The sequence below is a fragment of the Homo sapiens genome, chromosome 10 (assembly GCF_000001405.40).
Source record: "Homo sapiens chromosome 10, GRCh38.p14 Primary Assembly".
Lineage (NCBI taxonomy): Eukaryota > Metazoa > Chordata > Mammalia > Primates > Hominidae > Homo > Homo sapiens.
Genome location: NC_000010.11, coordinates 21,726,522 through 21,753,638, shown reverse-complemented (window position 1 = coordinate 21,753,638; position 27,117 = coordinate 21,726,522). Strand labels below are relative to the sequence as shown.

The 27,117-nt window shown below is 42.8% G+C and overlaps 1 protein-coding gene and 1 long non-coding RNA gene across 5 annotated transcripts in view, besides 7 other annotated features; one reads left to right on the top strand and one right to left on the bottom strand.

The window, feature by feature from the left end:
- Positions 1 to 10: 10 nt before the first annotated feature.
- LOC107984214 (uncharacterized) lies at positions 11 to 27,116 on the top strand. Its single transcript, XR_001747388.2, has 2 exons — positions 11 to 3,199; positions 26,576 to 27,116. It is a non-coding gene; the product is annotated as an uncharacterized LOC107984214 (long non-coding RNA).
- Positions 394 to 1,054: an enhancer, noted in NCBI's record as "NANOG-H3K27ac-H3K4me1 hESC enhancer chr10:22041514-22042174 (GRCh37/hg19 assembly coordinates)". NCBI's record gives its function as "activates a minimal SCP1, AML or CMV promoter by ChIP-STARR-seq in naive H9 embryonic stem cells {active_cell/tissue: H9 hESC(naive)}" and the evidence as "EXISTENCE:reporter gene assay evidence [ECO:0000049][PMID:30033119]".
- Positions 1,055 to 1,714: an enhancer, noted in NCBI's record as "NANOG-H3K27ac-H3K4me1 hESC enhancer chr10:22040854-22041513 (GRCh37/hg19 assembly coordinates)". NCBI's record gives its function as "activates a minimal SCP1, AML or CMV promoter by ChIP-STARR-seq in naive H9 embryonic stem cells {active_cell/tissue: H9 hESC(naive)}" and the evidence as "EXISTENCE:reporter gene assay evidence [ECO:0000049][PMID:30033119]".
- Positions 1,055 to 2,666: a biological region, named in NCBI's record as "P300/CBP strongly-dependent group 1 enhancer GRCh37_chr10:22039902-22041101".
- Positions 1,467 to 2,666: an enhancer, noted in NCBI's record as "P300/CBP strongly-dependent group 1 enhancer chr10:22039902-22041101 (GRCh37/hg19 assembly coordinates)". NCBI's record gives its function as "activates an origin of replication core promoter dependent on BRD2, BRD4, P300/CBP, MED14 and CDK7 cofactors, with strong dependence on P300/CBP, by STARR-seq in HCT116 cells {active_cell/tissue: HCT116}" and the evidence as "EXISTENCE:reporter gene assay evidence [ECO:0000049][PMID:35650434]".
- Positions 2,085 to 2,379: an enhancer, noted in NCBI's record as "tiled region #12954; K562 Activating DNase matched - State 8:EnhW". NCBI's record gives its function as "activates a minimal TATA promoter and a strong SV40 promoter by Sharpr-MPRA in K562 cells {active_cell/tissue: K562}" and the evidence as "EXISTENCE:reporter gene assay evidence [ECO:0000049][PMID:27701403]".
- Positions 5,130 to 5,629: an enhancer, noted in NCBI's record as "H3K27ac hESC enhancer chr10:22036939-22037438 (GRCh37/hg19 assembly coordinates)". NCBI's record gives its function as "activates a minimal SCP1, AML or CMV promoter by ChIP-STARR-seq in primed H9 embryonic stem cells {active_cell/tissue: H9 hESC(primed)}" and the evidence as "EXISTENCE:reporter gene assay evidence [ECO:0000049][PMID:30033119]".
- Positions 10,009 to 27,117, bottom strand: part of MLLT10 (MLLT10 histone lysine methyltransferase DOT1L cofactor) — a 209,875-nt gene continuing 192,766 nt past the window's right edge. For 3 of the 4 annotated variants that reach the window (NR_136736.2, NM_001324297.2, NM_001195626.3), the window contains 8 exons: positions 25,711 to 25,783; positions 22,585 to 22,739; positions 20,552 to 20,740; positions 20,047 to 20,135; positions 19,510 to 19,871; positions 18,404 to 18,500; positions 13,403 to 13,609; positions 10,009 to 11,700 (listed from right to left, as the gene is read on the bottom strand). Coding sequence is in view for 3 of the 4 variants with exons in the window: in NM_001324297.2 (NP_001311226.1) it covers positions 11,656 to 11,700; positions 13,403 to 13,609; positions 18,404 to 18,500; positions 19,510 to 19,871; positions 20,047 to 20,135; positions 20,552 to 20,740; positions 22,585 to 22,739; positions 25,711 to 25,783 (1,217 nt within the window). In the remaining variant the exon portion in view is untranslated. The remainder of the gene's footprint in view (positions 11,701 to 13,402; positions 13,610 to 18,403; positions 18,501 to 19,509; positions 19,872 to 20,046; positions 20,136 to 20,551; positions 20,741 to 22,584; positions 22,740 to 25,710; positions 25,784 to 27,117) is intronic. The other variant, NM_004641.4, reaches the window with a different exon arrangement.
- Positions 26,616 to 27,117: an enhancer, noted in NCBI's record as "NANOG hESC enhancer chr10:22015451-22015952 (GRCh37/hg19 assembly coordinates)". NCBI's record gives its function as "activates a minimal SCP1, AML or CMV promoter by ChIP-STARR-seq in naive H9 embryonic stem cells {active_cell/tissue: H9 hESC(naive)}" and the evidence as "EXISTENCE:reporter gene assay evidence [ECO:0000049][PMID:30033119]".

Below are 27,117 nucleotides of genomic sequence, written 5' to 3'. Positions count from 1 at the left end.
CAAATTTTTTCTGTTTTTTTGTAGAGATGGGTCTGGCTCTGTGGCCCAGGCTGGTTTTCCCTTTTTGAGGGAAGAAAAGAAGTTGTCTGTGGGACATGAGTGCTGTGTGTACTATTTTTTCCTTGTTAAATGAGACCTGAGAAAACGTGAACCTGGAATGTCCCAGGTGGGAGGGCAAACCCCAGTCCACCCTGGGCCCAGGGCCCTGGGCTGCTCACCGGCCCGCCACGTCCTCCGTGGGCCTGGAGCCTCTCCAGGGGTATTGCCTCTAGGGCCTGCAGTGTGTCCTTGTGAACATCCTCAGCTGGGCATAACTTAGTCTCCTGAGGGTGAAGTTGATCTTGAGAACAGCCCAGGGCTGCCCTGAGAGCGGTCACCGAGCAGCCCTGAGGTGCAGTGGGTACCGGTGCTGCCTCTAGGCCTCTACTTCTGGGGACCCCATGGCTCCAGCTCCTCGGCAGGCCCCCCAGTCCTCGCCCCCATGGCCATGTCCATTTGCTCGTGTTGCAGGGAGTGAGACCTGACTGGAGCTGGGGGGCGCTGGCTCTCCCACTGTCCGCGAAGCTGGGTGACATCAGGTGTGTTGTTTTACTACTATGCCTCAGTTCCTCATCTGGGAAAATAGAGAATAATGGCAGCTGCCGCTTAGGTTGTTAGGATGATAAAGTGAGATAATCTGTGTGAAGTCTTTCTAACGCAGTGCCTGGCTTGGCAGAAACAATATTATTTCTGACAGCCTGGCTTCCTGTCACCATCGTCTCTGCGTGGCGATGGCCACAGCAGCGCTGATGGGCCAGAGTCAAACTCCTTCCATCTCCTGCCCGTGGGGGCGAGAATCCCAGCCCGGGGCCTAGGGGCCTGGGTCACTCCGTGCACTCCCGGGGACCCTGCAAAGGGCTTGCAAAATCATTCTATCTTGGGTGTGTACGTTTCTGGGGAGAGGGTCCACATCTTTCACTGCGTGCCCCAAGGGCCTCTCACCCAAAAAGGCTCACAGCCTGTACGGTGACATTTCTCCTGACACGGCCCCAGGAGGGCCCATGTGGTGCACAGGAGAACCTTAGACTGGACCTCAGGCAGCAGCTCTGCTGCTGATGACCTGGGGCCTGGGCAAGTGATATTAGCCCCTCTCTGGGGCTCATTTCCTGTCCACAGAATGCAGGTGCTAATATCTGAGGGGCAGCGAGCTGCTCTCGGAAAGCCCTTCACACTCGGGGCCCCTCTCGGCTCTGCCCCCATCTTGTGCTCCTCCTCTTGCCACTGAGTAGGGACGTTTCTTCCCTAGGGCTGACCTCAGCCTGGTCTCCTTTTCTTCCTCAGGTGTGGTTTAAGGGCAGAGTTTGGATCGGAAGACCCACGTCTGAATCGTAGGTGAAGACTATGGGGAAGGATCAGGGACCAAGGCCATGGAGAGGGCTGTGGTTCTGAGGGCTGCAGGAGGGCACGGGAGCGGCTGGGGGAGGAGTGGAGGGAGGGAGGCTATCTGCAGCCCCCACCCCACTCAGCCCCGCAGAGCGCAGAGCAGCAGGGTATACTCCCAGGCATGACACCAGGCGAGGGGGCACTGCCCTCATCCTCCTGGATACCCGAGTCTCTTATCCTTTAGTGGTTTAAATTCTCTCTCCCCACTGGGGCAGAAATCTCAGTGCTACTATTTCTTCAAACCATTTATAGCGCCAGTTTTCGAAGCACACTCACCTGTTGTCTTACTTATCCTTAATGGGGGTTCTGCCCCCGCCCCCCCCCCCCCCCCCGCCCACAGAGGGTCAGGAATGTTTGGGATGTGCAGCCAAGCCACGTTCTTCCCCAGGTGTGCAAGAGCTCCCCGTGCACGGCCTTAGAATGCCTTATTAGGAAAAGTTGGGGTGGGAAGTGTCAGGCCTCTGAGCCCAAGCCAAGCCATCGCATCCTCTGTGACTTGGACGTATACGCCCAGGTGGCCTGAAGTAACTGAAGAATCACAAAAGAAGTGAAAATGCCCTGCCCAGCCTTAACTGATGACATTATCTTGTGAAAGTCCTTTTCCTGGTTCATCCTGGCTCAAAAAGCTCCCCCACTGAGCACCTTGCAACCCCCACTCCAGCCCGCCAGAGAACAATCCCCTTTGACTGTAATTTTCCTTTACCTACCTAAATCCTATAAAACGGCCCCACCCTTATCTCCCTTATCTCCCTTCGCTGACTCAGCCCGCCTGCACCCAGGTGATTAAAAGCTTTATTGCTCACACAAAGCCTGTTTAGTGGGCTCTTCACACGGACGCGCATGCAAGGAAGGAGGTTTTTCATCAGTGGACCAGCTTACTTAGATTTTCACCAAATCATCCGATTCATCTGCAGAATTTGCTTTGGGAACTGCCTAGGAGTTTGTTTTCAATTGGTCCACACGTGCTTGGCAAACACCCTGAGTGTTGCAGACTGTGGGTTTAGTCTTCCACTGGAGTATTCTCAAATTGCCTTTGCAGTTTTAGAATAAGACCTCTTATAATAAGCTTCCCACTGTCAATGTTTTCAGACACTTTAAAAAATGCCTCTTGCTGCAGGGCTTCTTCTTGATATATGCCAGTCACACTCCCCCAAACTCCTCTCCAAGTAGAGAACTAAAGCTCTATCAAATATTTCATCCCAACTTAATTTTCTAGGGTATTTGTTGTTGTTGTTGTTGTTGTTGTTGTTTATTTTGGCAGTTAGGCTTGTTCCTGAAGTTTAAATGGCACGGTTTAAATCATGTTCTGTGCATACAGGGAGGCCATGTGTTCCCTGGGGCCCAGGACACCCAGCCTGGGTGCTACGTAATGCGGCCTTCCTGTCTTATGGGGCATTGCTAACAGGTGGCCCATCCCAAATGCCTGCAGATTTTCAGAGGGGCGCTGAACTCCCCAGAGAGGAAGGATAGTGCGGAGATTTCCATTGTCTTGCTTTGGTTTAGAAAGCCCCAGGGTAGGGGTGAGTCCTGGTCCCGCCCCAGCCCTCGTGAAGACCCACCTGCCTCAGAGAATGGCTGAGCTCCAGAGACACCTGAGTCAGTGCCCAGCCTGGCAGGATCTTCTGCAACTACGTGCACCGGCACCTGTGCTGCAGGCCTCCCGCTCCCAGCCACGGACCAGCACCTGGGCTCAGGCCTTTAAGACCAGGAGTTGGCTGTGGAGGCTGAGGAGAGGCGAGACTTTGGCGTGCGGCTTGCGTGACTGCAACTAGACAAGGTTAGTCATTTGGTAAAAACAGATGTTGGTATTTTCTAAAACAAATCCGACTTCCAAATATTGGGCTGAAACACGCATAGTGTTTCCCTCTAGTCGGGGGACTCCCTTTGTAACCTCACTCCTGAGTTTGAGACGTGGGGTGGGAGCCAGGCCAGGGTCGCTTACAGTGGGGGCCTCTTGCCCTCACAGCCTTGTCAGGAATGGCCCCAAACCAAGAGCGTCCTCGGGTCAGTATTTCCTGGATTATTACGTGAGTTTACTGCAATAAACTTCATCTGTGGGTCATACAGTTTAAAAAGTATACCGTTTACAAAATGAAATTGACAGATTTTGGGGGCAACAGTAGGGTCGCTGTATGATTTACTGTGGCCTCAGTCATAAAGGAAAGTGAGCCATCTCGGTCATGTTTGCTTTTGTTATTACTCAAAAAGAAATACCTTGTGAAATGTAAGATAAAATGTCTCATTGCTTATACTGTCATTTTGGTTCCAATCTTGGTTTCACAAAGTTAGATATCACTGCAGTTAAACAGTAGATATCTTGACATATTTGACCACAGCTATTTTCCCTTTTTAAGAGGCTTGGCTTAAAACAATCACTATTGGAAATTTGTTCTTTGGCTACAATTATGTCTGTCCTGTTCTGTTAAAAACTAGAATTTAAAAATTGGTTGCAGGCCAGGTGCACTGGCTCACACCTGTAATCCCAGCGCTTTGGGAGGCCAAGGCAGGATTGTTTGAGAGCAGCCTGGGCAACATGAGACCCTGTCTCTAAAAAAATAAATAAATAAAAAACTCAGCCAGACACGCTGGCACATGCCTGTAGTCCCAGCTACTCAGGAGACTGGGGTGGGAGGATCGCTTGAGCCCAGAAGTTTGAGGTTGCACAGAGCTATGATTGCACCACTGCCATCTAGCCTGGGTGACAGAGTGAGACCCTGTCTTGGGGGAGGGGCGGGGAAATAATGGGTCCTGGGTAGAGAATCACCGCATGAAGGTGCTGATGTCCAGGTGATTCTACTGGCCAGCCAGGAAGAACCACTGCATGAGGCTAAGAGCCTGCAAAGCAAATGGGACCCTGTTTTGTTCAGCAATTCAATGTACGCGGGCAACTTAGCTGCAGAGAGCACCCGACCTTGCCTGCTCTGGAGGAGCCCTGGGGAACCAGCAAGGTGGCAGTGCTACCAAGATGGAATCCCCTAATTCATCCATCTGCTTGTTACGGGAGCCAAGTGAGAAACCCCAGATGCAGTCATCAGAGTTTGAAGGAAAACAAACCTGATCAGCACAAATTGAATTTCATGCTTTAATTTTAAACTTTGGAAGGTACTACCAAAATGAAGATGCCGTTGAGTTTGCTGCAAACCATGAGGTAACTTCTTTTTTCACTGGTTGCAATGGACTGAATATCTGTCTCCCCTCAGCAAGGTCATGTGTCGAAACCCCAACCTCGAAGGAGATGGGATCAGAAGGTGGGGCCTTTGGAGATAATTAGATCAGGAGGGTGGAGCCCCCATGAATGGGAGGCCAGAGAGCAGAGTTGCCCCCTTCCGAGTGAGTTGGCCTTCTGCCTCTGGAACAGAGCCTCACTGACGGGGAGAAATATATTTGTTGTATATAAGCCACCCAGACTACAGCATTTTTTAAAAAATTATGTCATTGAGACAGGGTCCTGGTCTTACCCAGGCTGGAGTGCAGTGGAGTGATCATAGCTGCAGCCTCCAACTCCTGACCTCCAGTGAACCTCCTGCCTTGGACTCCCAAAGTCCTGGGATTACAGACGTGAGCCTCCACACCCGGCCAGATTATGGCACTTTGTTAAAGCAAGGTGAACTGACACTGGTTTGATACAACCTCATTGTACAATCAAGTATTTAAGGGCACACGTTGGGAGCCTTAGACACTGCCTCCTACCTTTTAGCCCCTTGTCATCTGACTCCTGTACCTCTCTTCCCGCCACCAAAGCTGCTCCTGTTCATGTCACCAAATACCTAAGTACCATGTCCAAAAGGTGATTTCAGGCTTGACCTTACCCCTTTAATCCTGAAGGTGGTATATGACATCTTCCAGCTTTCTACAGCCTCACATTCTGGAGTGAAATGGATGTAAATCAAACCAAGAGTTCCCCTGGCGGCTCCTCAGATTCCTGTCCAGATGTTTCATCTTTTGCTTTGTTAGTCTTGGTGTCCCCAAAGTCTGCAGTCTTCTTCCTTGTCTTCACCCTTCTCCCACCCCAGTGACTTCAACTGCCCCCCTCTGTAGGGGTCTGGTGAGGGTCAGCTTGGTGGTTCCAGAGCCCTTTGCTCTAAACCCCGGCAGAATCCTCCACTCTATTCAGGGAGCTATGGTGCTTCCCTCATGTCCAAAAGAGCCAGAGCAGAGGTATGGCAACCTGCCTGTGTGGTCTCCTCTCCAATAAGCTGGAGGGTAAGAATCCCTCCCAGGGAGTTGGAGAAAGCAGCTCGCCTGGAGCTAGGGCCTTAGAAAAGGTGAATTCCTTTTCCCTAAAAGCCTCCAGGAGGTTGAAGCCTCCCTAGCTTTTTTGCGGGGGATTCCAACTTGTCTGTCTTCTCCAGTCGTCTCACATAATCTCACCTGAATTCCCCAAACCAGTTCAATGCACAGGTCCACCGAGGGGTCTCTGGTTTCTTCCTTAGTTCCTTTCCAGTCTGCACCCAGGCAAAGGCTCGCACACCCCTACACCCCTTGGAAAGACTATGAATGAATGCAGAGCCAGGGACAGCTCAAACTCCAGCCATAGCCATGTCCAGGCCTTTATGATTCTAGTTACCAGTGATGCCTGGGAAAGGCACAGGGATGTCAGGGACATGGTATGTTCAAGAACAGCATGGCTGGGTTTTGCTGGGGTGCACAGCAATGGGTGGAATTGTGCTGGGAGCCAGTGCTGGATGGATGGGCCGAGCCCACACCCCGAGAGGCCTCAATCTTGAAGAGGCATCCCAGCCTCCGCCACTCCTTAGGAACTCTGAGTCGGGAGGGGCTTTAAGAGCGTCAAGGGGTGCTGCCACTTTACCTGCCTCAGATCATTCTTGTTCTTAATTGCACCAATTCACATTTTGGCAGCTATGTGACTGTATCTTCCTAAGGTACTCAACTTCCTAATTTGCAAAATGGGGGAGACAAAACAGCCCTCACAGAGTTGTGTGAAGCGGAGGTGAGGCAAAGCAGGTGAAGGGCTTGACATGATGCCTAGCTCAGCATCCTTGGGAACACCCTCTGCCAACTGTCCACACTCGGAGGACATGGCTCTCCCATTGAAAGTAGACAAGGGTGGTGGCCACACTGGTGGCTCACCTGGAGGGTGGGGCGCTGGAGTCCTCACCAACCAAAGGCCTAGCTCTGGTTGTACCTGAAGTAAACCAACAGTTGTGAACAAAACCTGAAAATTCAACCTCATGGAATTTGGGAGTGTGCAGCAAAAAGCAGGCCAGAGAAGAGGCAGTGAGCTCATCTGGAATATTTGGACCCAGATCTAGAAATAACACACTTGTCTCCTGATACCCACCTTCTCCCTTCTCCCATCTGCCTTTCCCGAATTCACCCACTCTGCACCTTGCTAGCCAATCCCCCCACCCCGCCTTTTTTTGAGATGGAGTTTCGTTCTTGTTGCCCAGGCTGGAGTGCAATGGCAGAATCTCAGCTCACCACAACCTTCACTTCCTAGATTCAAGTGATTCTCCTGCCTCAGCCTCCCGAGTAGCTGGGATTACAGGCATGTGCCACCACACCTAATTTTGTATTTTTAGTAGAGACGGGGTTTCTCCATGTTGGTCAGACTGGCCTCGAACTCCCGACCTCAGGTGATCCACCCACCTCAGCCTCCCAAAGTGCTGGGATTACAGGTGTGAGTAATCATGCCCGACCAGTTGCTAGCCCCCCCCCCTTTTTTTTTTAAGAGAAGAGGTCTCACTCTGTCACCCTGGCTGGAGTGTGGTGACATGATCACTGCCGCCATGACCTCTTGGGCTTACATGATCCTCCCACCTAGGCCTCCTGAATAGCTCGGACTACAGGTGTATACCCCATGCCTGGCTAACTTTGTTTTGTAGAGAGGGCACCTCACTGCACTATCCACGCTGCTTGCTGCCTTAATGCGCATTTACAGTCTTCCTTTTGTGGCCACAGGACTACAGAAACCACACTCCAGCACAGCACCAATCATCTCTTTCTTGCAAACCCACAGCCCTCTTCTAGCCTCATTTCCTGTGCCCACCTGATCCCTTGTGACTAGCGTAGTCCTCTCCAACCCTGCCCTTTATGCTGCCCCTACTCCCCTAATCCCCCGAGATCCCCTTCCCCTAAAAGACAAGGGAACATCATTTACACAGCTCCTGCTGTGACAGCCATGCCTAACTGGCCTAAAAAATGATTAGTTTAATAAACACAAAATTTGATTTCAAAGATCTTTCCTGTCACTTTAAGTGGCAAAAGCAGGCCATAACTTTGTATATTCAACCAGGTAGGAAAAGAGAAAATATTAAAATTGTAGATGTATCATTTTATAAAAAAATGAAAGGAGGCCGGGCGCAGTGGATCACACCTGTAATCCCAGCACTTTGGGAGGCCGAGGCGGGCAGATCACCTAAGGTCAGGAGGCAAGACCAGCCTGCCAACATGGTGAAACCCCATCGCTACTAAAAATACAAAAATTACCCAGGCGTGGTGGTGTGCGCCTGTAATCCCAGCTACTCGGGAGGCTGAGGCAGGAGAATTGCTTAAACCCAGAAAGCGGACGTTGCCGTGAGCTGAGATTGCGCCATTGCACTCTAGCCTGGGTGACAGTGAGACTCAGTCTCAAAAAAAAAAAAAAAAAAAAAAGGCCTTTTGTTCTGGTTCAAATTTCTTAAAAAGTAGTCATGATAATTTTTATTAAATGGTTAATTCTAACACCTAAAAGTGTCACCAGTGCCCTGAGGTGGATGTGGATCACAAACTTGGAAAATAGGCACTTTGTCTGCTCCACAACCATGTGACTGTAGGCCTCCAGACCTTGATGCAGCCAGGGATCTGAGGCTGAGACATGTTGGAGACAGTTGGAAGGGAGATGAGTTGCCCCCATTCATTTACCTCAGTGGGGAATCTGTCCCTTAGAGACCTGCCAAACTTGAACTGTGACCTAAGTCACGGTCAAACGAAACTTACATTTTCACATAAATCTGGACTGAATTGCAAAAATCAGTAAGTGGTGTGAAAAAGACATTTCCTTTGTTGCAAATAACAGATTGGGGAATGGAAAAACAATTGACATGAATTTTATCAAAGTAAAAATTATTTTAAAAATGACTCCCAAATTTTAAAAGTTTGCCCCTATTTCATTTTGAAAGGACTAGTTTATATGAAAAGATGGTATCATTGATGTGTTTTATTTTCAATAAGTAAAACTAAGATGAACAGTATTTGTCTCACTGAGATTTCTACTCAGAAGGACATGACCCAGACAGCCAGGCACGTTGGCTCCTGACTGTAGTACCAGCTACTCAGGAGGCTGAGGCAGGAGGATTGCTTGAGCCCAGGAGTTTGAGGCTGCAGTGAGCCATGATCTCCCCACCGCACTCCAGCCTGTGCGACAGAGTGAGACCATTTCTTTTAAAACCTAGGTACATAACGCACTTATGAAAGCAAAATTACATTTCATTGTAAGGTGGTACCTCCCTTGCAATTCCAAGGGCCTCTCCTGCCTGTTGGGAGGATTATGGGATCATCGTTCCCTTCTGCTTGGTAGGCAGCGTAAGACAGCGACTTGGCTTTTCTGTCTTGGCCCAGTGCTTGATCTTGACCCACAACACGGACTGCACATCCACAGGACTAAAGTACAGAAGTGCAGACGGCAACCAGCCAGTGTAGACCTTCTTCAAGGCTCAGGGCCACTAGCAGGGCAGCAGCTCTTCAGTGCCCTTCCCAGAGCACAAGGCGCACATGTGAACCAGCAGCTGCCAGGGCCCTGCAGGGCAGCAACCCAGGATGACGAGGTCGACGTCCCGGAGCCTCCAGGAAGCCAGAGAGCTACAGAAGCGGACACTTACAAACATGCAGCTAAGGCAAAGGACACATGTTGAGGAATTAAACTCGCAGGAGTTGATGGATGAGTCACCTGTCATTCTAGAGGGAAGGTAATCCTTCGCCTTGGGAGAAGAGACGACTTTCTAGAGTCGTAATTATTTTTCATGTGCATAAAAAAAATCTCTCCAGGAACCCAAAACTCACTCCTTAATAAAGTTTATAGCCTAGGACCAGTTTTTCTTGTTCATGTGCCTCTTAATTACCAGGAGCACTTGACACAGATCAGTATGTTCTGATTCAATTAAGTCTGGGATAAAAAGTCTGAGCATTTATATTTTTGAAAAGCACCACAGGTGATTCTGATGCTTACCAAGACCCCAAGACCACTAAGTAGATTGGGCTTCTCTTTCATGGATATGCCTCTAGTTAAAGCTAACTGTATAAAGAAGAAGAATCTCTCTCTACCAAGTGTGAGTACTGCTTTATCAACGGGCTCTAATTATCTCATCTAAAAGGACTTTGTTTTCCTTTTATCTCCACCAAGGCTGTTTCCCTCTTCTCTCTCCGTCTCATCTGAGGATGATCCAAGATCTCTGAGCCCGAGGTGGGTTTGTACCGCACAGTGCTTTACAGAATGCTTTGCACATCGTATAGCATTTGCTCATGAGAGTTTCCATTAACTCCGGGGCAATATACCAGTGCTCCAAACACAAAACACAGGCCAAGACTCCCTGAGGAAGCAACATGGGTGCACCCCCTCCATCCTCTCCAAATGAGAATGGCACGGAGTTATAAACATTATTAAATTTTATTAACAAAACATTTTGTACATTTTAATACATGTGGAATTTTACATCTAGGTAAAATAACAACACATTCAAAATTTACCATTTATACAAACTGTTACAGAATAACAACCAGTGGGTTAAATAAGTAAAATAAACCACACTGATTTTTTAAATTATCTACAAAAGATTTGACTTTAAAATTCCCCTGAACATATAAAAATAAATTAATTTTACTTTTCAATTAAATCTACCAATTAGAAATATTACAAATCAAAATATCAATGTTATCTTATGAATTTGTCACAATACAAAACAGATTCACAAAACTTTATTTACAGAAATGAGGTAAGAACTGTGCAATGTTTAACCAAGAAACATATTGCAGAATTAACATGTTCTTCCAGCTAAGTACACAGTGGAGGTCTAATTACAGCTGGGTCTTTTCCACTAATAATTCACACACCAAAGAAGAGTTTGATGATGACATCCTCAGTGGGGGAATCACTCTGCGGTACTGTCACATCAAAAGCGTGGCTCCCCAAAGTGGAAGGGCTGTCATACAGGTTTCACCTGTTTCAGGAACTCTAGTGGTGAGCTTTTAATGGTCAGTAATGGGAAGTGGTTTAAATAAAACAAATCTCTATTCTTACCAAATCCACTCCTTTTCTTGTGACTCATTAGTGGATAAATACCCAGGTAATAGTTTTGCCTGAGCTATCTACAGTGGCACAGAAAGTTCTGAATAAAGGCGGAAGCATGGGAAGGCTGCAGGTGACGGGATGATTCCTGCTGCTCGGAGGACTGACTGTCCCACCCTGCTGTCTACAGCCCTTGCAGCACAATGGAGGCACTTGATCAAGGGCAAACCCCACCAGCACTTTCCACAGTGGCCCCTTTCTGAAAGAAGTATTTAGCTTTGAATTGATCTGGTTCCCCCAGCAGCCTCAGAACTCACTTAACTCAAGATTTCTTCAAAATATGAGTAGGTCTTAACACTAAAGAAAGCAATTCTCAAAAGAAAATTACCTTTAGCAGATGCAGACATTACCATCCTAACTTCATTACCAAAATTGGCCAAATCCCATTAGAAAGGAAATTTTTTTTTAACAAAGATTGCCAAGTCCCAGGTGATGTGCTATATATTTGTAATACTGAATCAATGCAACTCCAGGAGAAGAAATTAGTTCCTTGGAATTTGACTTAGAGCAAGCATACTGTAACCCAAACAAAAGAGCATATTTCAACTTGTACAATAAAATCAAGTAGTTTGTAAATGGAGCAAGTATTTAGTTTTGCTATTTGCATCTCCAATTTATAAACAAAACTAGTTGTGTACCAACTATATTAAATTCTTGAGTTGATAAACATATTGCATGTAAATTATGTCACTTTAAAAAGTTATTAAATTTTCTTTCCATGTTCAAAAAACTGGGGTAAGGGGTAGGGGCATGGGAATTCCATTTCAGTGCAACAAAGCAACAAGAAAACTAATCAAAGCCTTACAAGAATGTCCTTGCAGCAATTAATCCTTTGTTGTGCATTGAGTTTCTTGTTGCGTTTCTTCATAGCTGTAGTAAAAGGACTGCAAAGGCAGCCAGATGAAGTGCTAGAACAGCAGGATAGGCAATTTCTAGATGTTTCTCAGGTGTCAACTTTTCTCTTGAGCTACAGGCCCAGTTTTATCACTAAGTCTCTGCAGGTAAACAAAAGAGCAGATGCGTTAGCTAAATCAACTTTTGATAATATTCTCCGAATTTGAAACTGTGACTGAGATAAAATGTGGTATAGAAAGTTACTCCCTTTTTTCTTGCAAGTTGGCAAGGCTACTTGCAACGTAATATATAGACATGAATTTACTAGTAAATACTTTAAAAACATTAAATTCAACAGTATAAAAAGACCAAAGAGGTGGGCCCATCTGAGGGACAGAACTTGTAAAGAATGAATGCAGAATTCATCTTCCAAAATCAACTTTTCCACAGAAGTAACATGGTACTGTAGAGAATGAAATTTTTATGGGCTAAGAAAGTCATCGGCTGTGATTCCACATTTGCTATTTGTCCTTGGGCTTTCTTTGCGTTTCCTTTTACTAATCTATAAAAAAAATGGAGTTACAGCCTATTATTAAAGACTGAAATCACAAATGTCACTGTATCTTGCAAGGACACCTGGCACATAGCAGGGTACTAAGCAAACAGCACCTCCCAGCACTGTGTTCTCTATTATGAGCACTCTATTAGCTCATTAAATTACTGTGATTTTCCATTAAATACATTTCATATTGTATAACCTAGGAAAAGTTTGTAATTAGTGCATTTCTTAACACAAGAAAAACACTTGGTGAAACACTGGGGGGGAAAAAATACTACCAAAGAACTCAATACAGAATCACTGAAAACTGTCCATGTCAGCAGAACACTGGAGAGGTAATGCGGTGTGTGATGACAGGAAGTAGGCGAGACAAGAGGGCAGACAGAAAGCACTGAAGAGTTCATGAAAAACAATCCTCTATTTTGAATAATTCTCGTTACTAAGTACAAACTAAAGTTTCTGAAGACTAAAAGCACAGTAAACAAAACTTTCAAAGTAACGGGAAACAGCAAACACTGCAACTTTGAACACTCATTTGCCAAGTCTCCCACCTCAGTCCCTCCCTTCTTCCTTTTCCTGATGTCCAGTCTCCATTCTACATCCCCATAGCCTTCCTCTAACAGGGTTCTGCCCTGAACTGGAATTTAGGGGAAACATTTATACTCCAGTAAAGTAGACCTAATTGAAGGGGAGAATTAATCGAAACGGCCTTAAAATGGGTTCTACTGTATGTGTAGAATACTGTTCCTGCATCCATTTTTAATTTAACTTTCACATTGAAAGGGTACGATGCCATCACTTACATGAAATTAATAACTAAAAATTTGAATTCCATTACAGATGTGACTGTGATTTACTCCCTCTAATCTGGTAGAATTATTGGATTGTGTGCCCTAAAATGTATATATTCATCTTGGTAATAAATATACTTAATGTGTAAAAAGCACTTTGGAGTAAAATAAAAATATTTCCAAGATATATAGACTGGTTCTATAAACAAAGCTTCTCAGAAAGCACCAACTATTGTCTTTTGATTTGATTGTCCCATATGACTTGCTAACTTTGTCATCTTGAAAATTGCTGAATTACAAAACAGCCTTCAAACCTAATGTGCAAATTCAAACTGATATACTTAGGGGACGTATAAATTGGCTTAGATCCTTTGCCTATAATATCCATCTGCTAAAAGCAACTGGTTTTAAGAAGAAATGATCAGGGGAACAAAACCAGGCTGGAAAATGATCATCTCCGATTAATCAATACAGTTCTTGTTTCATTAGATGTAGTAAGGAAAATATACTTACTGCTACTTTCTGACTTGCATTATCTCCATGGATGGTGAGAAATGGGTTGGTGGTAGCTGTGTGAAGTGGGGGTGCCTGTGTACCTGCAAGAAGGTTGTTTATGGGTATTTGTGTTGGTCCAGGGATCTGCAGCTGCTGAAGTTCAGGTTGGTGGTGCTGCTGGTGGTGATGTTGCATTAACTGATACAAAAAGGCTTGATGTTGTTCCTTAGGCAAAAAACATGTGAGAGAAAATGAGTTCCCAAGCACGGAATTCAGCAGTCAGATGAGCTGCCTTATGTTTTCTTTCCTTTAATATTAGATATTTGCAAAGAAAGAAAACAAGTATCTCATCTAGAAAAATATGCTGCACTAGATAATAACCATCTACTATAAAATGTCAGTATCTTCAGCAAACAGCTTATTTTCAAAACAGGACACACATAGGAGAGCTCTATTAGGTTATCCGTGATGATCAATCAGGAAGTGCAGCAGCTTAAGAGAAATCAAGGTGGACATTTGAATGCATCATGCGTGGTCAAACCCTTTCCAAACTTAAAACAACCTTAAAGTTCCCGTTTCTGCCTGTCATTAGGGTGCTTTCTTGATGCAGTTACCACTCTACAGCAAGCATATACTCCATGCAGCGTATATTTATAGATTTCCTGAGTGCTTACTAGGTGCCAGGCACTGCTTTTGGTGCTTGAAACACATTGAGCAGGGAAAGGGAAATAAATGAAAACGTTAGAATGTGATTACTGCTCTGCGTCAAGGGAAACACAACTGTGTATGAGAAAGTCTGGAGGGAGTAGGGTTTAATGGTCAGGTTGTAATTTTAAGCAGATTACCCAGGGCAGTTTTCATTGGGAAGTTAACATCTGGATGAAGATTTGGAGGAGAAGAGGGAATTCGCTGGGTGGATATGGGGGCAGGTGAGGATTTCCAGGCAGTGCCAAAGGCCTCCAGAGGAGCAGGCCCAGCAGGATCCAGTGGCAGCAAGGACCCGGGAAGGGTGGAGGGAGCCAGGAGGAAGTGAGGAGAACACAGAGCTTGCAGTGGCAAGGCATGGCCACCTTGGCTTGTATTCATGGTAAAACGGGAAGGTTTTGAGAAGTGGCACAGTCTGATTTCAGGATGGAGTCAATGTGGGGTGTCAGAGTGAGGATGGAGCTGCCATCAGCTGAGGTGAGGAAAACGATGGGTGGGGCGGGGTTGTGCAGGAAGATCAGCTGTTCGGTTCTGGACACGTTATGTTTGAAATGTCTTTTAAGATATGCCAGCGGAGCTACTGAGTGAGCAGCTGCATTACAGGAGCTTGAAGCTCCAGAGAGAGGTCTGGCTGGAGATGTAAGTATCAGCACAGAGATGCTATTTACAGACAGTGATGAGAGATCACTGAATTCCACCTTGGGCACTCTCAGGCTGAAGAGGAGGACCCAGGAAAGGATGCTAAAAAGGAATGACCAGTTAGGTAGTAAGACACCAAGATGATGTGGTATCCTGGAAGCTAAGAGGAGGAAATGTTTCAAGGAGGAGGAAAAGCGATCAACTCTGTCTAATGCCGTTGCCAGGTGACGTTAAGATGAAGAATGAGAAGGGACCACTGGATTTAGCAAACATGCAAGTCATCTGGGGGAAGCAGAGTCAAGCAAGAGTGTCGAGCGGAAGCTGTGCGGAGGCTTCCAAAAAATCCTCACCTACGTTAAGTTTGATCCCTGTAAATGAACAAACTTTAGCCCACGACATTGGCAGATGAAGGAAAAAGTACAGTCCTTTAGTCCTCATGGTCTCCAAGCAATAATTTGTGCTGAAAATTCCTTAACCATGTTCTGGAAATGAGACAGCTACACATGCTATTATTAGAGTAAAATCTTGATTAATAGGAAGACACCCAAATAAATGGAGTTTTAGTGCTCATATTAAGATGAGGCAACTGGTAAGAAAAAACAAGATCCCATCTTAGTGTCAGCATTTAAGATTTTTTTTTTTTGAGACCGAGTCTCGCTCTAGTTGTCCAGGCTGGAGTGCGGTGGTGTGCTCTCGGCTCACTGCAACCTACACCTCCTGGTTCAAGCGATTCTCCTGCCTCAGCCTCCTGAGTAGCTGAGATTATACACACGCGCCACCACACCCGGCTAATTTTTGTATTTTTAGTAGAGACGGGGTTTCACCACGTTGGTCAGGCTTGTCCCGAACTCCTGACCTCGTGATCCGCCCACCTCCGTCTCCCAAAGTGCTGGGATTACAGGCATGAGCCACCACGCCCGGCCAGCATTTAAGAATTTATATACACTTACATGCAGTGTGCCTTTAACACCACTCTAAAAACAGACTGAAAATGATCCAGAATCAAAAGTATTTTCAATATATTTTTGACTGCAGCAAAATAGTACATAAATATACTTAGAAAGGATGTCAGCCTTTGTAATTTCTATGTTAATTAAGCAATGCATTCTCCAAGCAGCCCAACTGAATGAAGAGTGCTAGGGAAATGGGTCTGGAGGAAGCCCCACGACTGTCCACAGGGCCAGGCCTGCCCTGCACCTGAGCCACAATCCCACTTGGGTCTCGGTCCATACTTTCTCCCCTTCTACAAGTTCTCTATTTCCCATCTCCCCTCTTATCTAACCGTTAACACCCATCTCCTTCCCTCTGCTGATCACTTTACTTCTAATTAAGAAAATCAGAAGCACTGAAAGTGGGATTGCTTCAACCCTCCACATAAAACCCACCTCCAGTTGCTCTGCCTGCCTTGCTGGGGCAGTGAAATACCGTTCTCATCTCCTCCTCTGCTAGCACCTTTCTTCTCTCCTATCCCAGCAATGTCCCATCAACATACACACACGCTGTCACATTCAAAATGAGTCGAAACTGCCCCGTGTGCCCACCACATCTGCCTCCTGCTTCCCCTTCCTCTGCTTTCCAAAGTGACATGTCTTGAGGTGCCCATATGCTATCTTTACTTCCTCTCCCTCCCATTTCCTTTTGAACCATTTAATGAGGTTTTTACTTTCATCACACCCAAACTGTAAAAAGCCTCTAGACAACCTTTAAGAAAGAAACAGTCCCTGTCAGGTGCAGGTGTCACTGCACCCTCAACCTCCTGGGCTCCAGTGATCCTCCCACCTCAGCCTCCCAATTAACTGGAACCACAGGCATGCACCAGCACGCCCGGTTGGTCAATTCTTTCTTACCCTACCACAGAAGCATTTTACACAGTTGACTCCTCCCTTTCTGGAAACATTTCCTTCACCTTGCCCCTAAGATGCCACACTGTCCTTCTCTTGGCTCACTGGCCACAGTTTCTCAATAGCCTTTCTTTACTGGCTTATTCTCCTTTTCTAGGGTGTCCAGGACTCAGTCTTCATGCTCTAGGAGTCCGCATCAAATCTGATGGCTCTCATCACCTGTGCAGCACTAACCCCAGATTTCTAACTAACTGCATCTCTGCCTGGGACTCCAGACACCTACTGTGCAACTGCCTTATCTCCATTTGACTTGTACATCTAAAGAGATTTCAAGCTTAGTGTGTCCATGACACCTATTTTTCTCTCCAAAATTGGTTGGGTTCTGTTCTCCCACATCTCAGTAAAAGTCACTAACCAACCATTCAGAATTCTTCTTTCTCTTGTATGTCCAGCAAACAAGTCTTGTTGGTTCTGTCTTCAAAACATCTTGGCTGGGCACAGTGGCTCACACCTGTAATTCCAGCACTTTGGAAGGCTAAGGGCAGATCACTTGAGGTCAGGAGTTCAAGACCAGCCTGGGCAACATGGTGAAACCCTGTCTCTACAAAAAATACAAAATTAGCCAGGCATGGTGGGACATGCCTGTAGTCCCAGCTACTCGGGAGGCTGAGGCAGGAGGATCACTTGAGCCCAGGAGATGGAGGTTGCAAGGAGCCCAGATTGTGCCACTGCACTCCAGCCTGGGCGACAGAGCAAAACTCCCTCTCAAAAATATACATATATATACCACAATTCCAGGCAGTTTTCAATACGTAGCCCATACTATTTTAACACCTACGTCTCCTGCCTGGATCACTCCCTTTTTCCACTTTTGCCTCTGTCTTCACTCCCCCACACCCTATAACACACACAGACTATTCTCCATATAGCAGCAAAACTAATCCTTTAAAATGTAAATCATTATTTCACTATTCTGTTCAAAACCTTCCAATTCTTAATCCTGAAAAAAATGGAGAATGAAATGAGATAAACAAAACTAAGATTATTAGCACTGGGTGAGAGAATGGAATGAGGCGTACATAGGTCTTCAGGGTGCTCTCCACTCTACTTTTGGTACACTTGAAATCCTCCGTAATAGATTTTTAAAAACTCGCCAGTGGCTTTCCATTCATACTTAAGATAAAATCCAAATTTCTTGCCACAGCCAAGAAAGGCTGTATGCGATCATCTAAGACCACCCCCTTGGCTCTGACCTCTCCCACCCTCTGACCACATGGCTGCTGACTTCTCTTCCGAACACAAGTACGTCCAGACCTTTGACAGCAGCTGCCCCTTTACCTCCAACGTGCTTTCTCTCTGCGTTCCCTCAAGTCACAAAGGCACACTCCCTGAACTCTCACATCGGTCTGTGCTCAAAAGTCACCCCCCTTGCAGAGGCGGGGCCATCCTATCTAAAATGGTCCTCGGTTCCCTATGCTCTTCCCCACTTATTCCACTTCTTTGTTCTTCTCAGTATTTATCACAACCAAAAAGCGTGCATCGTGTCCATCCATCTCCCGTATCAAAATGAAGCTCCGGGAAAACACGCACCACATCTCAGCACTGTGTTACCAGAGCCTATGGCAGCACCATGCCACGTGCCCTGTCACTTTTAAGTTCAGGAATGAATGTGACATCACTGCAGGTATCACAGCCTGTACCACATGGCAAGAAAAACTTTTTTGATTATGCATTCAATAATGTTATTTCACAAAGGAGAAATCTGTACCCACAGTGAATATTACAGCTTAGAACACATGCTCCTAATAAGATATTATCAAAAGAAAGAACTTACTGGTGTGAGCTGTTGAGAATTTAACAACTGCTGAAACTGCTGTTGATGAATAAGTATTTGTCGTTGCTGGTCAGAAAGTAATCCTAGTCCTGAGGCACTGAAAAATGATTACAATTCTTACTTTTTACTACACACCTCTAATGCATTTTTAGAAGTCTAAAAATGAAAGACAACTTTTCAATTTGATGTTTAATAACTTAAGTACAATTCTGAATCCAAACACTCTGAAAACAGTTATGTACAATTTCTATATATATGTATGTTTATATACATCCATGTGTACAGCTAAACAAGAATTCACATTGTCAAGAAATGTTTTTATTATAAAACAAATAGGCCCTAACTCATTTTATGGAATAGAAATTTACATGTGTTTCTAACAAGCGTATGTAATAATTTATCTTTAATTATTCAAGGATAATTTAACTCACACTAAGTAAACACATATTTGAAACAAAGAATCCAAACATACCACTGATTTGACCTATCCTTTTCTAATGGTCCCAATGGTAAAACTAAACACCAAGGAAGAGAGCTACAGGAAATAGCTTTCTAGTACCCACTGCAAATCCATTTAAAAGTATTTATTCCCCCAAAAGTATGCTTAATAACAACATAGCTTTAGTCCCCTAGTTTTGAACAAACATTCAAATGCAGTTCCAGTACAATGAAACCAGTGAGTCTCACTTCCTGGGAATTCAGATAAATGACCTTTATCCTATATCAAAATCTTTGATTAGAACATTAAAAATATTACATAAATTTTAGGAAACTAATATTCATGTTATCTCCACTACGATATCTTTCTTCAGAATTTATGATACAGTATACAAAGAAATAAGAAAAACTAGTATTTAAAAACAGACATCACAGATTAAGACTAATTTTCAGCACAGAACATAATGCTGTTACTAAAAGTAACTTAATTTTAATCTAAATTACTTAAGTTTCAAAAATAAATGTACTCTGTATAATATACTTAAAATTTTTGGCAGACTTCTTAAGGTGTATCTACAAAGGAACACATTGAAAGCCCCAATCTAAGGCATAGACAACACCGGTACTCTGTTATACTAAAAAACCCAAAACATACTTAAGTTTCTTACCTGTTAGTCAGTGTAGCTGGCATTGGATGTGTTGCATTAGGTGGTACGGTTGTGTGGGTGAGAGGGGTAGGGTTCTGGGACATTGTGACAGGAGTCTGCATAACCCCATTTAAAGCTCCTACAATGCCATTAATTGCCAGTTGGTTACCTGGCAAAGCTCCAATTATTCCACCCACTGCAGACACGGCAGGAATGGTGGAAGTTACAGGCTGCATTCCACTAGCTAGTGCCCCCACTGTCACGCCATTGACCTGCTGAACTCCACTCACTCCTGAGCCTTGTTGAGCCGGACTCTGCCCAGCAGGAGGTGGGGTAGAAAGAGCTGATGAGCTGCTGGTACTTTGTCCACTGGAGGTTAAGTCCTAGCGTAAGAAAGAAGAGAAACTAAGTCCACTGGACATTAAGTCCCAGCGTAAGAAAGAAGAGAAACTAAGTTTAAAGAACACTGCAAAACTGTTTAAAATAATTTTAAACCATTTAATATACTATTATTCACAAGTAAATCAACATAGATGAAAATAACCATACAAAAATTACCTGATTTAATACAGGAAGAGAATTATCAGGTAAAAAGCTGTTTCCTATATGAGGGCTCTTACTGCTGTTCAAGGAATCAGTAGTAGGAGCTAGAATAATAAAAGACAAAAAGAAACCTATTTACCCTATTAAATTACATTATGTGTAAGATTAAAGGCTTATTAAAAAGCTTATGCTGAAGCCCGTATCAAAACCACTTAAATATCTAGTCTTGCTATTCCTAAGACTGATTTAAATAAGAAAAAAAAATCTATATTGAATACCATCGCTTTAAATCAATAACGAGATCATTAGACATTTAAGTAAATTTTACCATTATATTATGGACTAAGAAAGTTAAATTCAAGTTGATCACTTAACAGGATTCTTTATGCCCTTCAAAAACAACCTATAGTTCCTTTTCTACATCTTCATATAACTGGTGACCAATTATTACTCACTTATAATACAAATAAAACTGAAAGCCTATTTTCCTTAGATACAAAATAAATATTTTCACACTTACCAGTCTGTGCTGAAAATGTGTGTATTTGATGAGACGGACTAGGATTTGCTGTTATTGTTGGAAAAGGCACTGAAAGCTGTGCATTCAATAACTGAAGCCGTTCCTTTTTGGCAGTCAAGTTTTTAATTTGTTCCTCTAATCTTCGGTTTTCAACTTGAAGTTGGTGTAATGACTTCAGCATTCCTAAAACTACCACACATTTGGATAGTTTTTAATAATGACAAGTACACACATAAGACTAAGTATTTTACGCAGTGCCGGTAACCTTAGAAATAAGTTAAAATAGAACAGTAGAAATTCTGTAAAGTGTTTCTAAATGATAAAGTTTTGTTCCTAAATTTGTTTATGGATATAAATTGCCTATCTATGTTTGTATTTTTATAAGCACAAAGGCAAAGTGTTCCTGGATGTACCTTCTGGAAACTTTGTTGCCACATACCAAAAAACACACACCAGCTTCAGGTAATTTTCCATTCTCAATGAAAAGTAATGACATTTTATTTTCATCAAAATAAAAGCCTATTAAAAATTCAAGTGCCTGTCACTATTTTGCATTGAAGTCATATACAGAATGGTTAAGGATCGCACCAATACCCTCTACCAAAATAATGAGCACATGTTTTTGTTTGTTGTCCGGTTTAAACGAAGTGCTGCCATCAGACGCCTGGCAGGAAGCCCCTAATCCCAGCTGCTCAGCATGTTGCTCTGCAGGTCACCCAGCAGGGAGCGCTATGTGTGCGCCCAGCCACCTCTCCAGTCCTGGAGAAAGGCGCATCCCCTGTAAACAGGCTGACTTTCAGTCTGGCCCCATCACCTCAAGTACTTCAATTCCTTCCACAACTTGGACCTCCCAGCTAACAACACAGAGTGTTGCCGTTAAGATTTTTGAAGTGTCCGTCACATACTAAAAAGTTGTATTTGTTTAACATGACCTCAGGGCCTTTAGAAGATACAACTCCTCTGGTACAGACACATCTGGCCGTTTCCCATGGATTTAACTTTTATCCCTCCCCTCCAAGATCCCACAAAGAAACCTTAGTGGGCCCAAATGAGATGCAATAAGACTCAGCTAAACCTATCCTCCAGCTATCGTGTTTAAAGGATTAGCCTGGCATGAATTTCCTCACAATTAATTAGCATTTTTTGTCAGGGTACCATTCATAAAATACCAATTTATGGCACTTAGCTAGCCAACAATAAGCAAAATGTTTCAATAAAATGAGGCAGCAAAAGTTTATACTCGAAAATGATGAAAACCACCTATTTTTCCCTAAAATTAAGACAAGGCCACATCTCCAGCTAACCACCACCTATTTTAACTCTGCATTTTACACCCACGGCCCTAATACTTGAAATGGTGAAGATACTGAAACACAGATATATAGTACATGCTCTATAATCCAATAGATGATAAGCATAATATATACTAATTATAGATTTAATTCAATAATTATTATTCTTCCTCCAAATTATAAAATGAAGAAGCTAGCCGGCCATACTTGACTATTTGTATTTTTTAAAGTAAGTTTTCCAGAGGTGAGCAAGTTTTCTTCTAACAATTGGGGTAAGAGAAGACAGTGCTCATGTATTTTAGTAAACTGATTGATAAGAACAAAGTACAGTGGAGACACAAAGTACCAATATGTATAATCATGGTAAGCACCGAGACAATGCTATGTATGAGCCAGGCAGTGGTCCTTACATTTTTCATGTCATTTAATCCTCACAATAACCCTCTGATATGGGTGCATTATTACTCCCAATTGTAAAAATAGGAGATTAAAGAACTTTAAAAAACATGCCCAAGATCATACTATTAATAACAGGTAAAGACAGGATTCAAGTCCAAGCAGTAACACTATAGAATCTCTTCTATTAAACCACTTCACCTTATACTTTCTCTCACTGTATTATATAAAATGTATATCATAATCCCATTACTACTCTGGATGAAAAGTGACTTCTGCATCCATCTGCCTGTTTGTCCATCTGCCCATCTGTCTTGATTCACATATAAGAAAATGAATACTTACTGTCACTAGGAGTACCCTGTTCTAGTAAAAATTGCTGTCCTTCACTCCACTGCCTCTCCAAAAGCTGTTCTATGCTGGCTGCTACTGGAGGCAGATTTTCCAAACTGCTGTTGCCTGGTTGATCATAGCGAATCTGTAAGCTGCTTACAGGGGATCTGTTGAAAACAATTCTCAAGTTAAAAAGAAGGGGAATGCTTTTAAGAGAGTACAGTTTCTTACCTTAAGCTGACCCCTTTTCTCCTGTATGAGTTTTATAACACCAGGCTGCCTATGCCAGAAGTATCAGGTTCCTGGATTTAGAAAACCATAATCTACCCTAAAATTGAGTAATTATCATTCTTCCTCCCAATATTATAGAATCAAGGAAATAGCTAGCCATCATAGATAATTAAAAACCACTAGAAAATATAAACACACCACCAACAATCTCTGAAATAGGCTGTAAAATAACTTGGTATGGCATTATAAGACAAAAGAGGGAAAGACAAAATTAGACTTAAAAATAATTTCCCAGAAAAGGGTTTCACCATTCTGCTTTGATATATTTGCCATCATAATAACCTGAAAAAGTATAATACTGTAAAAGGTATTTGAATTTACAACCAACTAAAATCTCAAATGTCACTAAAAAGAAATTTTTAAGAATCTTAAAGCAGCCTTTTGTTATAAATTAAAAATTACTCATTTTCAAGTATTTTCACAATTAAGAAATAAGATCAAAGCAATTTTTTTTTTTTTTTTTTTTCATTTTTGGAGATAGGGTCTCACTTCGTCAGCCATGCTAGAGTGCTGTGGTGCAATGATGGCTCACTACAGTCTTGACTTCCTGGGTCCTGGGTTCAAGCAATCCTCCCACCTCAAGCCTCCTGAGCAGCTGGGACCACAAGAGCACACACTACCACGCACAGCTTTTTTTTGGGCGGGGAGGCGGCGGTGGGGGAGGTTGGGCAGGGGAGACGGAGTTTCACCATGTTGCCCAGCTTAGTCTCCAACTCCTGGGCTGAAGTGTTCCTCCCGCCCAGGCCTCTCTATCTAACTGCTGGGATTATAGGCATGAGCCACCGTGCCCAGCCCCCAAAGCAATTTTTGATCCTTTTACATGAATATTTCTAAAATGTCTTAGATCTATACTTCAAATGATAACCCTTCTAAAACAAACAGCACTTGTATTAAGATGAACATGTAATGTTCTCTACACTTTTTGGTTTAAATAAGTGTGGCCATTTCCGGTCTCCAGCTATCATTCTAACATAATACATTTAAAGAGCTTTAGAATTTCCAATGCGTTTGTATATATCTCATATGATCTCCACAACAACCTAGTGAGAAGTCAAAACCTGGTTTATTGGCTCCATTTTCAAATGAGGAAACAGGACGGAGTTTTAGTGACTTGTCCAAAGACACACTGCTGGTGAGGTGACAAGAGCTGGGCTATACAACTCAGGTCTTCTAACAACCCACTAGTGTTCTTGACACTGCCTTAATATGCGTCTCTGCAAAATTTTCGTAAGATGTTAAACAAATGGGGTTTTTATTCCATATGTAAACATTATGGGCCACATACAGTTGGCCATCCCTCTGCAAATAGTACACTATACCAGGATAATTTAGGCTGTTACATCTCAGGCTGATTTCTAAAGAGTAATATAAAGTTGGAAATAATATGCTAAAAATAATTTAGTACCATTTGTTAAGTCCCATTTAACTAATGAAAAGGAAAAACTATATTAAGCAAAATAGCACTTTCTTAATAATTCTCGGTAGCTTGTAATATTTTAAGTTTAAAAGGGCAACAGAGAAATGCTTCTTCCACTAAACACTGAGCAAACATTAACTTTCTTCTTTGAAAAGAAAAACAACATAGAATTAATCACAGCATAAAATCACAGACTAGTCAGATCATGTTATCATTGTTCTTCAGATTCCTGGTTTCCAAAGAATGGATATTTGATTTTCTGCAGAGTTCAATCAGGGAAAACAATACTACTTTTAGTTCACCCAGGAATTATACAGAAAAAAAGGCATCACTAGATGTACCATTAGAAAATGAAATTAGTGGTTACTGAACTAATCTTTAGGATAAAGAAGATGTTCCTTAACAGACATTCCCCAAATATATCAGCAATACTGTTATTCATGATCTGTCATCACATGAAAAAGTTCATTTTGGAAAAAAAAAAAAAAAAAATTGTAGACATGGAGTCTTGGCATGTTGCCCAGGCTGGTCTTGAACTCCAGGCCTCAAGCAATCCTCCAAACTTGGCCTCCCAAAGCGCTGGGATTATAGACATGAGCCACCACGCCTGACCAAAGTTTTCATTTTTAATCACGTTTCTCCCATTCTTGGAAGAAAGACCCTAGAATGGGCTTTTCTCTTACTCTCCATTGTCACCCAGTCTAACACCATGCTTGAGGGAGGGTTCCTAAATTAGAGAACATGGAGAAAACAAAGAGAACGCACAGAAGGGAAATAAAATTAATAAGGAGATAGCTATCACCAAAGTTCCATTCTCCCCTACAAGCAGACACAGTATCTCATACCACATTCTCCCCATTTAGAACAGAAGGAATATGCAGTTTGATAACCCCAAATATATTAATTAGATTTTAATAAATGGTACCTGAATACTGTCATAAAATGATTTCAAAAAACTTGTAATACATTTGCTATAACTGATTCAAACAATTTAAGAACTAGTAGGAGTTTAGTGATCTACCACACGACTTTACTGAATTAGGAACTAGAGACTAAGGGATTAAGTGCTACACAGAACAGAGCTAAAACTGGAACCCAAACTTGAAAGTCTTGGGTCTACAACTTTAAGAGATCTTAAAACTATTTTATGATCAAAAAGAATTACTCAAATCAGTATACAGGTAATAAATACAAGAGAGTTCGAACTGATTGGAAACCAAAGGAAAGGGATTTGTTTTACTTAGAAATCTAATGGTGTTTAAATTAATATTTAAATTAATTTAGAATCATTTTTCTTGTCTAGACATGCTTCTTATCTGTAGAATGCTTTTATAGCCTCACAAATGTACACTCTACTGATATGAGATAAGAAAGTTTCCAAATCTCAAACGTTTCCTTTGCCTATACTTTGCAGTGTAAATAGCGCTTACCGTGGCGAGAGACTTCCTCGGGGTGAGCTTCCTCTGCCAACTAGGTTGCGGCTATTGTCTCCAAGATCTTGATCTGTAGTGTAAATATTTCAGAGCTGATAAAGTGACTCTCACTAGATAAGAGGTTTTAAACTCTTGCCCTGATTTTTCCTAAAACATACATTAAACCTTTACCACTATCTTTGCAGTTCCCACGAAAATAGAAGATCTAGCATGTTGCTAGTTCAGAATTGCTGAACTGTGGCATGTAAGGCGTTGTCCCTACACGTTTTTGTGGGTGTAGAAGGCCATGGATTATGTTCTGTTCTTTCATTCCTTTCAATTTTACAGCACAGAAGCGTGGTTTGCATTTGCTGTACCCTCCCCTCAGCCACTTTTAATTTCTACGGTTAAAGTAATGAATCACAGCTGTGGACAGCTAATCTGTATGCTTATCACAGCAAATCCGTATGCTTTGTATTTTTTAACACTTTGCATCCCAAGACAAGCCATAAAACACATTTACATAGAGCTGCACACCAAGACTAAAATTATGGTGTTAGACACTAGAGCCTTACACCAAGAATAAAATTACATAAAACACTAAATTTCCAAATTGACAAAAACAAGTAGGAATACAGAATCCTGAATTTTAAAGAAAAAAATTAACTTTTCAAAATATTCCTTAGGTAATATCATATATCTCTGCTTGGAAAGTAACTTGTATTTCCCCTGCAGTTAGTTCCTTATAAAAATCACCTTATCTGGCCTCTTTCAAGGTTGTCCTCCCCTTATTCTGAGTCAGGTAACCTCTGACCCTTAAACGGTAAAGACAGACTGATCCATTCTTGGTGAACTGCTAAATCCATTCCCTTCCCCCAAACAGGCATGACTACTTGGACATGTCAACCAATCCTTAAGGATGCAATGAAACAAAGCAAATCCAGTGGCTCATTAAGACAGTACAAGAGACAAATGCGACAAAACGTCAACTGGTGAACATTCACAGGATTACTAAACACTGCAGAAATTCTCTAACAGGATTTTTTTAACCAAGTTTGTGTAATACAATTTCATGAATTATGCAAATAAAGGTTTAGGCTATTCACAGAAAAGCCCAGTGTTATGTTACTTTCATTGCATAGAACTGAGAACTGAACACATCAATCACAAAAGTCACAGGAGACACTGCTGCATTCCTGCTTGCTGATGGCTCTGTTGAAACATTTCCATTTCAGACAATAAAAAAAAAAAAAAAAAAAAAAAAAGGACATTGCTATTTTGCAGCACAGCATACTATTTACTTCCAACTGTGATTCTTTTTTATTGTAAATTGACAGTTTGTAATTATATAAATTTGGAGTACAAATTGATGTTATGATATATGAATGTAATGTGGAATAATAAAATCAAGCTAGTTAACATAAC